The sequence below is a fragment of the Homo sapiens genome, chromosome 6, assembly GCF_000001405.40.
Source record: "Homo sapiens chromosome 6, GRCh38.p14 Primary Assembly".
Lineage (NCBI taxonomy): Eukaryota > Metazoa > Chordata > Mammalia > Primates > Hominidae > Homo > Homo sapiens.
Genome location: NC_000006.12, coordinates 160971412 through 160987914, shown reverse-complemented (window position 1 = coordinate 160987914; position 16503 = coordinate 160971412). Strand labels below are relative to the sequence as shown.

The 16503-nt window shown below is 44.2% G+C and overlaps 1 long non-coding RNA gene across 13 annotated transcripts in view, besides 2 other annotated features; it reads right to left on the bottom strand.

The window, feature by feature from the left end:
• Positions 4272–4472: a silencer, noted in NCBI's record as "peak6299 fragment used in MPRA reporter construct". NCBI's record gives its function as "represses an SCP1 promoter by STARR-seq MPRAs in K562 erythroleukemia cells {active_cell/tissue: K562}" and the evidence as "EXISTENCE:reporter gene assay evidence [ECO:0000049][PMID:32103011]".
• Positions 6702–16503, bottom strand: part of LOC102724087 (uncharacterized) — a 55176-nt gene continuing 45374 nt past the window's right edge. For 7 of the 13 annotated variants that reach the window (NR_187756.1, NR_187759.1, NR_187764.1 and 4 more), the window contains one exon: positions 6702–6853. This is a non-coding gene — a long non-coding RNA (uncharacterized LOC102724087). Of the gene's footprint in view, positions 6861–16503 lie in introns of all 13 variants that reach the window. The other 6 variants (NR_187755.1, NR_187757.1, NR_187760.1 and 3 more) reach the window with 1 other exon arrangement.
• Positions 11378–12092: an enhancer, noted in NCBI's record as "NANOG-H3K27ac hESC enhancer chr6:161396855-161397569 (GRCh37/hg19 assembly coordinates)". NCBI's record gives its function as "activates a minimal SCP1, AML or CMV promoter by ChIP-STARR-seq in naive H9 embryonic stem cells {active_cell/tissue: H9 hESC(naive)}" and the evidence as "EXISTENCE:reporter gene assay evidence [ECO:0000049][PMID:30033119]".

Sequence of the window (16503 nt, the reverse complement as noted above, 5' to 3'; positions counted from 1 at the left end):
ATGATCTTGTTCTTTTACGTCTGCATAGTATTACATAGTGTATATGTACCTCATTTTCCTTATCCAGTCTACCACTGATTGGCATTAGATTGATTCTGTGTCTTTGCTATTGTGAATAGTAGTTACACACTTTTTAAATAGTCCTTATAACCTTAAATCTCATCCTTCTTGGCTGAGTAGTAGGAAGTTGGAGAAAACCTCCACTGTTTATTTGCTGAGAGGTGATTTGCCTGTTTTTGTTATTTCTCCACCATGACATAAATCACCCCTTATTGCAGACATTCTCCTCTGCATGAAGAATCTAAATTGAACCCCCAGGGGCTCCAAATCAGTAGATAAAGAATTAAAGATTGCATGCTTTCAAAAAATAATTAGAATAGTGGGAATTACCCAAATGATTGAAACAAATAAAGGGAAAGGACGTGGCCTCCAACATATAAAACGTGAGCATGTGCTAACCCACAGGGAGGAGCACCCACTTCATTTCCTTTGGGACATGCAGGCAGCTAAAACCAGGAGAGCCCACGTTTCTTCATTCCTGCTCTGACTTCTCAATACCTCTTTCCAGGATCTTGCTAACATGAGGAACAGATGGCTTAAAAAATGGAAATTCCTGAGGGAGCTCACTCTTCTTGTGAGCCAAGATTTCAGTGATTTCCCACCAAAACATCTAGAGACCATGCCTGATTCTCATCCTTTCATTTCTCTTTCAGATGTCCACGTGCAAGGCCTAGAGAACCAGAAACAGCAAGCTGCAGTTCCTGTATTATTTTCAGATCCCTTAAAATCACCAAGTGCATGTGCATGAGATGGAACCAGGCAAGGAGAACCGAGATGACATCACATCAAGGAGCTCCCATGCCCTCTGCCAGAGGCCTCTGCCCTTCACTTCCACATGGCAAAGTCACTTCTCCTTTCAGTGCTGTTCGTGTGTCTCCCACACCACTCTTGGGAGACTTCCCTGCCCTCCACCACTAGCCTGCCTTAACCTGCTGGCTAGGTGCTCCTCCTCAATGTTCCCATAGCACTTTGGGCAAACCATTATTTTAGCCCTATATCACCTATCTGCATCTGTATACTTGACTGATTACATGTGTATTTCTTCCTTGTGATCTTCTCAAGAGCAGGCAATGTTTTTTGCTTATCACTGTATCTTCAGCAGCTAGAATAACACCCTGTAGGCAGTAACTGTTCAGTGAAATGTCTATTGATAAATGAATGCTGGGCGCAGTGGCTCACACCAGTAAGTAATCCCAGCACTGGGAGGCCAAGGTGGGAGGATTGCTTGAGCTCAGGAGTTCAAGACCAGCCCAGGCAATATGACAAAACCCTGTCTCTACAAGAAGTACAAAAATTAGCTGGGCACGGTGGTGCACTCCCACCAGCTATTCAGGAGGCTGAGATGGGAGGATCACTGGAGTCTGGGAGGTCAAGGTTGCAGTGACCTGTGATCACATGATTGCACTCCAGCCTGGGCAACAGCCTGGATATATCAACGGGGAAATAAATCCCAGATATAAATTACTGTAGTACAAGTAGACTATAAGAAACATCATAAACAAGTTTTTTTTAAGTTCAACAGACATTCACAAGAATTGGAGACAACCAAGGTGGACACAAGTAAGGAGAAAAACCTATATTTAAAAAATAGACATTCAGGCCAGGCGTGGTGGCTCATGCTTGTAATCCCAGCACTTTGGGAGGCCGAGACGGGCGGATCATGAGGTCAGGAGATCGAGACCATCCTGGCTAACACGGTGAAGCCCCATCTCTACTAAAAATACAAAAAAATTAGCCGGGCGTGGTGGCGAGCACCTGTTGTCCCAGCTACTCAGGCGGCTGAGGCAGGAGAATGGCGTGAACCCAGAAGGCAGAGCTTGCAGTGAGCCGAGATCACACCACTGCACTCCAGCCTGGGTGACAGAGTGAGGAAAAAAAAAAAGAAAAAAAAAGTAGACATTCAGTATAAGGGGGTAAAAACCATGTTAACTCCACAATACATGAACCCCTTTGTCACAAAAATATTATGAAGCATAGAAATAACCTAGATTTTTATACTGATAGTACAGAATCCTTATAGTCCTACTGGCTGCTTGTGTAGATACACGTACTAACAAACAAAAGGCTTCTAACATCATTCTGACTGAAGTAAGGAAAAAGTAATAATAAATAAATATGGAAATGGACTTTTAAACACTGATTTTTATTGAGATATGGCTCTGATGCACATCAGAAATATTTTGAGCCTACCAAGGGTCAGAAATAAGTTCCACAAAGTCAAGGACTCATCCGTCTGAAGTTTACATTTTCAGAGTAGTTTGCCACATCATGAAGTCCTTGAGTTGGAAACATGCTGAAAGGCATCTGATTTACCCTTATTCTCAGAACAAGACTTTCCATCAATCACAAAAGTGTCCAATGGTTGAATTTCTCAATTCTATAAGGAAGTCTGTTCCATATTTTGACAAATCTTATTCATAGGATATTAAAGCTTGTAACAATCCTAAATCTGTCTCCCTATTATGTCTAGCTGGTGGTCTATCTGGGACTATATAAAATAAATCTACTTGACATTTGAGAATAATTATTTCATGGTTCTCCCCTAAAATGACAACACAAAAATCTTTTTTTTTTTCCAGATTAATCACTCCCTTCCCCGACTCCTTTCAGACTTGGAGAGTACTGGCTGGAGACAATTCTATTAGAAGGTTTTGCTTATATAATTTACTTGACAATTCAGACTTGACTAAAGTCATTTTGCTTAAACTAAGAGAATTTGAAATCCTAACTTCAGAATGCTTTTACCTCAAATTCATTTCAAAATATAATTGAAGGACTATACATACTTGAAGGATAATTGAGAAAAGACTGTCTAGTGGTTAATTTTCAATTTAAACTAAGGGCATTATGTGTTTCCAACAACCAGGATCATTCACCAGTATAAAAGGAAGGTGTATTAGTACATTCCTGCATTGCTATAAAGAACTACCTGAGACTGGGTAATTTATAAAGAAAAGAGGTTTAATTGTCTTAGAGTTCCGCAGGCTGAACAGGAAACATGGCTGAGGAGGCCTCAGGAAACTTATAATCATGGTGGAAGGTGAAGGGGAAGCAAACACGTCTTACACGTCCAGAGAAAAAGGAAGAGAGAGTGAAGGGGAGGTGCTATACACTTTTTTTTTTTTTTGAGATGGAGTCTCACTCTGTCGCCCAGGCTGGAGTGCAGTGGCATGATCTCGGCTGTCTGCAAGCTCTGTCGCCCAGGCTGGAGTGCAGTGGCATGATCTCGGCTGTCTGCAAGCTCTGCCTCCCAGGTTCACGCCATTCTCCTGCCTCAGCCTCTCAAGTAGCTGGGACTACAGGTGCCTGCCACGACGCCCGGCTAATTTTTTTTGTATTTTTAGTAGAGACGGGGTTTCACCATGTTAGCCAGGATGGTCTCAATCTCCTGACTTTGTGATCTGCCTGCCTCAGCCTCCCAAAGTGCTGGGATTACAGGCGTGAGCCACCGTGCCTGGCTGTGCTACACACATTTAAAAAACCAGATCTTGTGAGAACAGCAAGGGGGATGTCCACCCCCATGATCCAATCACCCCCCACCACCAGGCCCCTCCTCCAACATTGGAGATTATAATTTACCATGAGATTTGGGTGGGGACACAATCCAAACCATATCATCCCACCCCTGGCCCCTCCCAAATCTCATGTCCTTCTCACATTGCAAAATACAATCATCCCTTCTCAACTGTCCCCCAAGTCTTAACTCATTTCAGCATTAACTCAAAAGTCCAGAGTCCAAGTCTCATTTAAGACAAGGCAAGTCACTCCTGTCTATGAGCCTATAACATAAAAAACAAGTTAGTTACTTCCAAGATACAATGGGGTACAGGCATCAGGTAAATATGCCTGATCCAAAAGGGAGAAATTGGCCCAAACAAAGGGGCTATAGGCCCCATGCAAGTCTGAAACCCAGCAGGTCAGTCATTAAATCTTAAAGCTCCAAAATAATATCTTTTGACTCCATGTCTCACATCCAGGACACACTGATGCAAGGGGTGGGCTCCCAAGGCCTTGGGCATCTGCACCCCTGTGGTTCTGCAGGGCTCAGCTACCATGGCTACTCTCAAGGGTTGGTGTTGAGTGCCTGAGGCTTTTCCAGACACACGGTATAAGCTGCCAGTGGCTCTACCATTCTGGGGTCTGGAGGACAGTGGCCCTCTTTTCACAGCTCCACTAGGCAGTGCCCCAGAGGGGACTCTGTGTGAGGGCTCCAACCCCACATTTCCCCTCCTCACTGCCCTTAGTAGAGGTTCTCCATGAGGGCTCCAACCCTGCAGCAGACTTCTGCCTGGACATCCAGGTATTTCCATATATCCGCTGAAATCTAAGTGGAGGCTCCCAAGCCTCAACTCTTGCCCTCTGTGCACGCACAGGCTTAACACCACATAGAAGTCACCATGGCTTATAGCTGGCATCTTCTGGAGCAGTGGCCTCAGATGTATCTGGGGACCTTTTAGCCATGGCTGGAGCTGGAATGACTAGGACACAAGGAGCAGTGTCCCAGGGCCCATCCAGCGGGGCCTTTGGCCTGGCCCATGAAACCATTCTTCCCTCCTAGGCCTTCAGGCCTGTAATGGGAGGGGCTGCCACAAAGGTCTCTGGAATGCCTTTGAGGCATTTTCCCCGTTGTCTTGGTTATTAACATTTGGCTCCTCTTTATTTATGCAAATTTATGCAGCCAGCTTGAATTCCTCCCCAGAAAAATGGGTTTTTCTTTTCTACCATATCGTCAGGCTGCATATTTTCTAAACTTTCATGCTCTGCTCCCGTTTAAAATATAAGTTCCAGTTTCAGATCGTCTCTTTGCTCACACATGAGATTATGCTGTTAGAAGCAACTGGGCCACATCTTTCATGCTTTGCTGCTTAGAAATTTCTTCTGCCAAATACCTGTTGATGAAAAGAGTCAAACTCTGTAAAATAGTTAAAGAGATTTATTCTGAGCCAAATATGAGTGACCATGGCCTGTGACACAGCCCCCAGGGGATCCTGAGAACATGTGTCCAAGATGGTTGGGGTGCAGCTTGGTTTTATACGTTTTAGGGAGACATGACACTTCAGTCAAACACACTTAAGAAATACATTGGTTCAGTCTGGAAATGTGGGACAACTTGAAGCAGGGGCTTCCAGGTTATAGTAGATTGAACATTTTTCTAACTGGCAATCAGTTGAAAGAGTTATCAACAGAAAGGAATGTCTGTGTTGGGATAAGAGGTGTGGAGACCAAAGTTTTTTCATGTAGATGAAGCCTCCAGGTAGCAGGCTTCAGAGAGATTATATTGTAAATATGTCTTATCAGACTTAAGGTATGTGTTGATGTTAATGCTGAACAGGCATAATGAGGCATGTCCGACCCCCACTTCCTATCATGGCCTGAACCAGTCTTTCAGGTTAAATTTTAAAGTGCCATGGCCTAGGAGGAAGTCCAATCAGATGGTTGGGGGGGACTTATATTTTTATTTTTGGTTTACATCCCCTAAATCATCTCTCTCAAGTTCAAAGTTCCACAGATCCCTAGAGGAGAGGCACAATGCCACCAGTCTCTTTGCTAAAGCATACCAACAGTGACCTTTACTCTAGTTCCCAATAAGTTTTTCATCTGCATCTGAGACCACCTCAGTCTGGACTTCGTTCTTTGTCCATATCACTATCAGCATTTTGGTCACAACCATTCAACAAGTCTCTAGAAAGTTTCAAACTTTCTCACATCTTCCTGTCTTCTTCTGAGATCTCCAAACTGTTCCAACCTCTGCCCATTATCCAGTTCCAAAGTCATTGCCAAATTTTCAGGTATCTTTATAGCAATGCCCCACTGCTAGGTACCAATTTTCTATATTAGTCCATGTTTGCATTGCTATAAAGAAGCACCTAAGACTGAGTAATGTATAAAGAAAACAGTTTTAATTGACTCACAATTCTGCAGACTGTACAGGAAGCATGGCTGGAGATTCCTCAGGAAACTTATAATCATGGTGGAAGATGAAGGGGAAGCAGGTTCATTTTACATTGCTGGAGAAGGTGGAAGAGAGAGCGAAGGGGGAGGTGCTTTTAAACTTTTAAACAACCAGCTCTCATGAGAACTCACTCACTATCATGATAACAGCAAGGGGGAAGTTTGCCCCCGTGATCCAATTACCTTTCACCAGGCTCCTCCTCCAACACTGGGGATTACAATTTGACATGAGATTTGGGTACAGACACAAATCCAAACCATATCAGAAGCTGAATCCTTTTTGTTCTGCAAACCACTGCTTTTCAAAGTTTGACGTGTACGTGGATCACCTGGAGATCTTGGTAAGCTGCAGATTCCCAAGTCAGTAGGTTTGAGGTGGGAACAGAGAGTCTGCATTTCTGTCAAGCATCACAAGTGATGTGGTGGCTGCAGGAGGCTGGGCTGCACTTCGAATAGCAAGAACACAGGATTCTGCTTGGGTAGATAAAAGTCCTCTGCTTAAAGAGGATGACCAAGAGAAAAGATGGAGGTATTACATTCAAGCCAAGATAGCTAAGCCTTGCTACCAGGTGAAATCAGCAAACATGTGGCAATCCTGGTGGTATGGGTTGCATTGCATCTCTCAAAAAGATATGTTTATGTCTGTCTTCATCTGTTTATATTGCTATAACAAAATGCATGAGACTGGATAGTTTATAAGCAGCATACATTTATTGCTCACAGTTACAGAAGCTGGGAAGTCTAAGATCAAGGCACTGGCAGATTCCCTGTCTGGTGACTTTGAATGGCAAGGTCAAGATTCTTCCAAGGTGAAAGCTGCTTCCTCCAGAGGGAAAAAGTGCTGCATCCTCACATAGCAGGAGGGACAGAAGGGCAAAAAAAAAAAAAAAAAAAAAAAAAAAAAGGTCAAGCTAGTTGCCCTTTTATAAGGTCACTAATCCCACTCACAAGGGTTTTGCCCTCATGACTTAATCACCTCCCGAAGGCAGCACCTCTTAATACTATCATGTTGGGGTTTAAGTTCTAGCATGAATTTTGGGGGAGACATAAACATTCAAGCCATAGCAAAGTCCTAACCCCTGGTACCTGTGAATGTGACCTCATTTGGAAACAGAGCCTTTAGAGACATAATCAAGTTAACATGAGTAAGATACTGAAGTAGGTTGGGTCCTTCAGTCAGTGTAAGTGGTGTCCTTATAAGAAGGGGAGAATATCACGCCTGTAATCCCAGCACTTTGAGAGGCCGAGCTGGGCAGATCACGAGGTCAAGAGATTGAGACCATCCTGGCTAACAGTGAAACCCCGTCTGTACTAAAAAATACAAAAAATTAGCTGGGCATTGTGGCAGGCACCTTGTAGTCCCAGCTACTCGGGAGGCTGAGGCAGGAGAATAGTGTGAACCTGGGAGGTGGAGCTTGCAGTGAGCCAAGATCACACCACTGCACTCCAGCCTGGGTGACAAAGTGAGACTCCGTCTCAAAAAAAAAAAAAAAAAGAAGGGGAGAATAGACCGAGAGAGACCACCAGATGCTAGAGACTAGGAAGGATCCTCTCATCTAGAGCCTTCAAAGAGAACATGGCCTGCTGTCATCTTGATTTGGGACTTCTGACCTGCAGAACTGTGAAAGCCCAGATTTCTGCTGTTTTTGTTTTGTTGTTGTTGTTGTTGTTGTTGTTTGTTTCTTGTTTGTTTGTTTTTGAGACAGAGTCTAGCTATGTCACCCAGGCTGGAGTGCAGTGGTGCGATCTTGGCTCACTGCAACCTCCGCCTCCTGGGCTCCAGTGATTCTCCTGCCTCAGCCTCCTGAGCAGCTGGGATTACAGGCACGGGCCACCACGCCCAGCTAATTTTTGTATTTTCAGTAGAGACAGGGTTTCACTGTGTTCGCCAGGATGGTCTTGATCTCCTGACCTCGTGATCCACTCGCCTCGGCCTCCCAAAGTGCTGGGATTACAGGCGTGAGCCACTGCTTTAAGCCACACTGTGGTGCTTTGCCATAGCAGCCTTGGGAGCCGAATTCACCTGCTTTCACATTAGTGGATGAGAGGACCTGCAGCAACTCCAGGAATCCCCTCATGGGCATCAAGAAGCTGTGGTGTGGCTCTCAGAGGAAAAGTGCCTAGAGTGGAGTGGGAAGACACTAACAGGACAATAACCTGTGACACAAAGTGTCTACCTATTTGGAAGAATATGCAAGCATGCGCTTAAGTAATATTAGATAGTAACTTATAGGACACCCACATGAAAAATATCTGTTTACATTAGGTTTTAGCAGGATTATTAAAAGAGGCTTAGTGAGTGGTTGGAAAGTAGGATAAAGATCTATGAGTCTCTTCTTTGGCTGCACGATACACTCATCTGAGGAGGTTGTAAAAAAACAGTAATGCTTGGATCCCGCCTCTCTAGTAGATCTACATTTAATTCGTCTGAGATGCGGCCCCAGCACCCACGGTTGAAAACATTCTTCGGGTAATTCTAATGTTCAGCCAGGGTTGAGAATCACTGTTATAGGTCCAAACCTTCAAAGACAGTCAGCTTAGGAAATGTGATCCAAGAATATTCCTCAATTATTTTACTTAGTGCCCAATCTAAACAGCACTGTGCAGGCTACAGCTGGGAATGCAGCAGTTTAGATAACCAGCTGCTGCCTATTGTGAAAAGTTCCTTCCAGTAGGGACCCAGTACTACAAATGCAGAACTTGCCACACTTAGCCCTGATTGCGATGCTTGTTCACATGGGTGCTGCCCCACCCCATTGGTTTGCCTTCTCTCAAGGATCACAGACCTGCACTACCAGTTGTTCAATGTCTGAAAATAGTTGTTTTATGTATTTTGTCCCATTTTCCAGTTGTTTACAGTGGGTGGGCATATTAGTTTTCTAGGGCTGCTATAATAAAGTACCACAAACTGGTTGGCAACAGAAATTTATTCTCTCCCAGTTATGAAAGCTTGACGTCCAAACTCAAGGTGTGAGAAATGTTGGTTCCTTCTGGGGGACTCTGAAGCAGAGAATCTGTTCCAAGCCTCTCTCCTGGGTTCCAGTGGTTGCCAGAAATCCTTGACATCCCCTGGTTTACAGCTATGTAACACCAATCTCTGCGTCGGTCATCACATGGCCATCTTCTCTCTGTGTCTGTCTCTTGTGTCTCTTTTCCTCTTCTTATAAGGACACTAGTCATGCTGAATTAATGACCTGCCCTCCTCCAGCATGACCTCATCTTAACTTGACTAATTACCTCTGCAACAACCATATTTCCAAATATAATCACATTCTGAGGTTCCGGGAAAAACATGTATTTTTGGGTGATGCTATTCAACCAAGCACAATGGGTCAGTGTGGTTCTGTTACTCAAAAATACTGCAAAATAGAATTTCTTGCTTGATTTCTGAAATCCCCAGAAGGACTGGTTTTTATTTATGTTTGTGCTTTTCACAGTGCTCTGTACTAGAGGAACTCACATTTTGAAATGATTTAGAGTCACATACTAAAAAAAATAGCCAACTGCTCTGTAATTGCATATTTCAGAGCCAACCAAGCCCTGCTGAGTCAGAGCCTCTGAGGAGGCAGACCAGGAACCTGCACTTTCCATGGGTTCCCTATATGGTTCTGATGGAGTTGAGCCTCTTGTTACATGTGCCAGGAGGCACGGGCATGGAGTTTGATTGCATGTGCTCCACAGTAAGGAGCTGAGTTCAAATGATCATGGGCATATTAGTCAGGGTTCTCAAGAGAAACAGAACCAAGAGCATTGTGAAAGGAAACAAAAATCTTGGGACCCCCAAACTCATGATGCCAAAGGGAAAAGTTAAGCTTGGGAACTGAGTCACACAAAAAAACAGCCTTCCAGGCCGGGCACAGTGGCTCATGCCTGTAATCCCAGCACTTTGGGAGGCCAAAGCAGGCAGATCATGAGGTCGGGAGTTTGAGACCAGCCTGGCCAAGAGACCAGCCTGGCCAATATGGTGAAACCCCATCTCTACTAAAAATACAAAAATTAGCCGGGCATGGTGGCAGGCACCTGTAATCCCAGCTACTTGGGAGGCTGAGGCAGGAGAATTGCTTGAACCTGGGAGGTGGAGGTTGCAGTGAGCTGAAGATTACGCCATTGCACTCCAGCCTGGGTGACGGAGTGAGACTTCGACTCAAAACAAAACAAAAAACAAAACAAAACAAAAAAATGCCTTTGTTTTGTTCCTAAACAGATAGCTACAAGATAGAAGGCCACATATTTCCCCCAGGTGGCCTCCCTCACCCTGACAATGTAAACTAACAGCATATCTTCACAGGTAGGGGACAAAGACAAGACCGGAAATTGTCTCCCCACCTTCTTCTACTCTATCTTATATAAAATGCAGATTTACAGAGTGCAAGATAAATGCGTAATTAACTGTTCCTCTTCCTCCTCCTGCTCACTTTTTCCCCTTTAAATATTGACGTCCTCAAAACCCTCTTTGGAAAAAGCAGAGGCCACAGACCTGTCTGCAGCTGTGTCTCTTCTTCCCAGGCACATCTTCAACCTTGGCAAAATAAACCTCTAAATTGATTGAGACCTGTTTCAGACACTTTTTGGTTTACAGCATGGATAGAAAGAAATTTATTGTAAAGAATTGGTGCACGTGATTATGGAGGCTGGCAAGTCCAAAATCAGTCGGGTGGGCCAGCAGGCTGGAAACTAAAGGAAGAGACGACATTGCAGTTCAGGTCCGAAGGCTGACTGCTGATACAATTCCCTCTTGCTCAGGGGAGGTCAGGCTTTTTTTCTATTCAGGCCTTCAACTGACTGGATAAGGCCTGCCCACATTATGGAGGGCAAACTACTTTCAAAATCCATGGAATTTTTTTTTTTTTTTTTTTTTTTTTGAGGCAGGCTCTTACTCTGTCCCCTATGCTGGAGTTCACTGGTGTGATCTTAGCTGTCTGCAACTTCTGCCTCCTGGGTTCAAGAGATTCTCCTACCTCAACCTCCTGAGTAGCTTGGACTTCAGGCCAACCAGTAATTTTTGTATTTTTTGGTAGAGGCAGAGTTTTGCCATTTTGAGCAGGCTGGTCTCGAACTCCTGACCTCAAGTGATCTGCCCACCTTGGCCTCCTAAAGTGCTGGGATTACAGGCATGAGCCACCACACCTGGCCCAAAGTCCACTGATTTCAATGTCAATATCATCCAAAAGCACCCTCACAAAAACACCCAGAATAATATTTGACCATGTATCTGGGCATCATAACCCAGCCAAGCTGACACATAAAATTAGCCAGTACACAGGGTTCTCACCGAGTCCAGCACTGGGAGAGGACCGTGAGGACTAAGCTTTGATTTTTTTTTTTTTCTCTTGCCCAAATTCCTATCTAAGGGGTCTGGAGAGTCATGCCCTACAAACCATCAATTCTCATGAGCTGGGTTTTATTTAACCCTATATGTTGTGACTTACTTTCCAATCTGACTCCGGCATAACATTATGTGACGAGGAAGAAAGTCATATTTTACCCCAAAACATGTTTCTTTGCCCTATTTTGAAATAGCCCTGCAAAGCTGTCCTATGTGGGGGAAAATTTGCATCTGTAAAGAATCTCTATTAACATAGCTAGATCTTTTTCTTCCAGGCCCTCCCAATCCTCAAGAGATTAACTAAGAGTCTAGCACCTTTTAAAGGTCTGAATAGGAAACATTTGTCATCTATTGCCTCTAAGGGCAGCCTGTATAAGACTTCAAAAGAACCTTGGTCTCCACAATCTTTTATCTTAACCTGAACATTTCTTTCTATTGACGCCAGGTCTTGAGACAAACTAAATCAATTGTCAACCAGAAAATGTTTAAATTCGCCTATAGTCTGGAAGCCCCTGCGTCTCTCCCAGCAGGTCCTTGGACCACTAGCCTAGGAATCTCTACATGAAAACACAGATCGTTTGGCCTCATCCAGGAATAAGTGAATCAGAACCCTGGGGCAGGACCCAGGCATCTATATTTTAAACAAATTCTTCAGTTCACATTTAGAAATAAGTACAAATAATAGATTTATAAGTATATTTTAAATATAAAATATACAGTATGTTTAAATATTTATTATACATATAATACTATACTTCTATATTAAAGAGAATAATTATTGATATGAAATTTAAACCTTTGTATAAATGTTGCATAATAATATGTTTATGGGTACATTAGAAATACTGCACATCAGTGTGCAAACTAGAGTCCAGTGTTCTGTTAGCTCATTGGTTTTCTTTGCATCTCTGTTCCTCTTAGTGTCTAAATCTGTACCTGATGTGGCAAAGTGAGCTTAATAAATTACATTGAGCGATGGGTCATCAAGCTAAAATTGGTAGATTATTCATTTTACCAAACATGATTGTTCTAAAGCAATATATGTGGGCCTTTCTGGGAGGAGAAGGAAGGATCACTCTAAGGGAGGCTGATTAAACAGATAGTTTCAAGCACAAGGTAGCATTTGAGTAGGGCCTTGAGAGACAAATGAGATGTCACTAGACAGAAAGGGTGGTGTGTTAATCTGTTTTATGTTGCTATAACAGAATAGCATAGACTGGGTAATTTACAATGAGCAGCAATTTATTGGCTGACAGTTCTGGAAGCTGGAAAGCCCAAGATCAAACTGCTAGCATCTGGCAAGGGCCTTCTTGCTCTGTCATAACACGACAGAAGGCATCACATAGAGGAAGGGCAGAAAGGGGGAGAGGGAGAGGCAGCAAGAGGGGTCAACCCCCTCCCCTCCCAGGATAACAAACCCATTCCCACAATAAGAAAAACAAAGCCTTCATGACCCAAACACTTCTTAAAGGTCCCACCTTCCAATACCATTGCAATGGAAATTAAATTTCAACCCGAGGTTTGAAGGGGCAAACATTCAAATCATGGCTGGTGGGAGTGAACTGAGGGAGAGGGAAGGACAGAAAGCAAAAGTGCATGCAGGGATTCAGGGACGGAGACCACTCAGATGATCTGGGTGACAAGGTTGGAAAGATGAGTGGCGGGTAAAAAGTGAAGAGTTTCAAATGTCAGTCTGCACTTTGCATGCAAATCCACAGTGGCTACTGGAGAGCCTGTTACTCTTCTCAGTTTAGAGTCTTAATTTTAGGTTCTAAGTACAATATAAACTGTCACAATAAGAGGGCAGATTAGAATGCATTTCGAAGCTGCCGTGGTTCCCTAGGAGCAGCACAGAGCAGGAGTCTGCCTCGGCATAGGGCCCATGGCTTGTCACGTGAGAGTCTCAGACCCTGTCCACATCTGAAAACACTCAGAACTCAAGGCTGGAGACTGTAAATCTCTCACTTAGCTGGCAGTCTTTGGTGTGATTCATTCATGCCAGATTCTCAATAAGAGTATTCCTAGGCCCCATCTTTCTGGGTGCCCAGGAACTATGTGAGTGTGAGGCTGGGACACGTCAGAATATTTCAGGCCAAGCTTCTTCACGTCCCCTGCGGTCTGCCAGGTCAGGACGCGTCTGTTATAGGTCATCACCATGGCTTGTTTATGAACTGGCCAAGTGCCTCAGTCACATGAGGGCAGGTGTGTGGGAGGGTATTCTGATTCTTTTATCTGGGAACTGGGTTTGCTCTCATTTTTTCTTTGGAAGACAAAAAAAAAATAGGGAAAACGCATTTGTGTGAAGATACTCCTTGCCTTCCACATGCAGTCTTTCTCTTTGCCATAATTTCCTTTCTTAGTTTCACCTCTAGTTCCTGGGTCCAGGGGAGCAGGTGGGGACAGGGAGCCCCGTCACTACCTACACTGCAGCCTCACTGCACACTATGCACATGGACAAATCCCACCCAGTGGATCTTCTACATCTGCAGTCCAGAGTCGGCTTCCCATTGCTATCAGGCTTCCAAGTTCAATGATCTCATCTCCTAATTATTAAACAAAACATAACAAAACAAAACAAAATGCCAGTTCCTCTAGGCCATGTTTTGCAAATCACACTCCCTGCTTTGTAGAAGTGGCTCTTATGCACTTTAGGCTGAGATAAAAGTTTGTTTTTTAAACATTCCTCATGTTGGGTTTAAGAAAAAACCTTGTCAACATCACAGCATGAAACAATTAACAATTTAAGATAACCAGTCAAGCTTTATCATGAATATATGCATTGAGATGTTCAGAAGAGAATAACAGTGATTTTCAAAAGATGTCTCATTACCAATATTAGCAGTTTCAATAACTGCGAATTAACTTCCTGACTTTATTTCTGAACACTTTCAGAACGACCTCATTTCGCAGAGGTGTATTATTCTCCTACTGTATGCATGGCTCTGTGCGGATTACCAAGGGAAAGGTCACTACCCCAAGGAGTGTGCAATCCAGCTGGGAGATAAGACAAGCACGCATGACATTTCAGTAACAGCTACAAACAGTAAGTGTCCGCTCTGCTCTCTGCCCAGCCAAACCACCCCCATCCTCTGGATCCAGCTGCTGCCCCATCTCCTTCCTGATGAGGTCCTCAGCCTCCCAGGCGGCCCCTTTCTTCCCCCGCCCTGGCTTTCCTGGCCCACATGGCCACTTCCTCCCGCACAGCCTTCTCCTGAGACTTGATTGCCTTGTGTGTGCTACATTTGTTCCCTGGCTGGACTGCATTCCCTGGGGGAGCAAAGGTTTCCCATTTCTTTTATATTCTCTTCAACAACTAGCACCTGGAAAAGGCTCACTAAATAGTCAAATAATAAAGCCCAGGACTCAGCCCACAAGACTTATGAGCAACTATTTACACCCATGGCAGCCTGGAGAGGAGCAGGGGCAACCGGGAGAGCAGAAGGAACTTGAAGGAGTCAATGGCAATGGCTGTGGCCTTGACAAGCAGGAGGCTCTGAATGTAATGGTCAGTGGGTTAACCATCATCACACTGAGGCCAATCCTAACCAGCCCAGCATGGATTATGAGCTAATTTCTGAACCCACAAATAAACAAAAAGCACCTCAATGACAATCACGGGTGCCCCCAGACTGTCCAGTGGTGCGATGCTGGAAGAGACACAGCGAACTTTTTGAAATCTTTGTTATTCTCCTTGGACCCTTTCAATAAAGATAATCATGATAAAGCCAGAGATCCGTCATGCTTATCTTTTGTGTGTGTGTGTGTGTGTGTGCGCGTGTGCGTGCGCGTGCGCGCAATGGAGTCTCGCTCTGTCACCCAGGCTGGAGTGCAATGGCGCAATCTCGGCTCACTGCAACCTCTGCCTCTCAGGTTCAAGCGATTCTCCTGCCTCAGCCTCCTGAGTAGCTGGGATTACAGGCGCATGTCACCATGCCTGGCTAATTTTTGCATTTGTAGTAGAGACAGGGTTTCACCATGTTGGTCAGGCTGGTCTCGAACTCCCGGCATCGTAATCTGCCCACCTCGGCCTTCCAAAGTGCTGGGATTACAGGCATGAGCCACCGCGCCTGGCCCCTCATGCTTATCTTAAATTGTTATTTGTTTTATGCTCTGATGCTAAAAATGTTTTTACCTTAGCTCGACATAAATATTTTTAAAAAATCAACTTGTATCTCAATCTAAAGTGCCTAAGAGCCACGTCTACATTTATGAATCGAGATGAGTCATGGCCATGGCAGTAGCAGCCCTTTGTGTCTGCTGCAAATGAGTTTCTACTTGCTACACAGCTTCCACATACACAGCTGTTAAAAACCACCAACATTGGAGTCAGGTTTCAGTTAGCTGTAGTTTTAGGTTCTGATCATCAGTGGCTTTACTGAGATGTTTGTATTGGAACAAAAATTGTAGTTCATTGAAATGAATAAACCATGCAACTTTTAAGCTGCAGAATCTTGCCAATGTGATCAGAAGAATTTGTTGTTGTTGTTTTTTGAGACAGGGTCTTGCTCTGTTGCCTAGGCTGGAGTGTAGTGGTGTGATCACGGCTCACTGCAGCCTCGATCTCCCATGCTTAAGAGAGCCTCTCACTTCAGCCTCTCGAGTAGCTGGGACTATAGGCACGCACCACCATTCCTGGCTAATGTTTATTTTTTGTAGAGAGGAGGTACCACTACGTTGCCCAGGCTGGTCTTGAACTCCTGGACTCAAGCAATCCTCCTGCCTCAGCCTTCCAAAGTGCTGGGATTCCAGGCATGAGCCATGCCTAGCTGATCAGACAAATTTGTATTCTGATTTGTGGCAAGGTGTGGAGGGCTCTGTGGGCTCCACAGATCTAATGATCCAACATAGTGCATTTTTGTGCCTTCATCAACTACTGAAGAATGACCCTGTGGAAATGTGAAACATTGCCTCAGTCATGGGTATTTTATACTGGTCACGTGCAAGGAGTTTTGAATTAAAATGTATTTGCTGCAATTCAGAAAGCGTAACATTCAAAAGTTTTTCCTGCAAATTGTCTCACAGCCTTAAGGAACAGCTTTATATTTTACAGAAAGCATTTTCTTTGTGACCCTGGATCCACTTATGCAAATGAGGGCCAATTCCTGAAGCTCTATATTTCATTTTCTCAAACTCAGTCCTGTAAAAGAATGAGTAACTGCATCCCT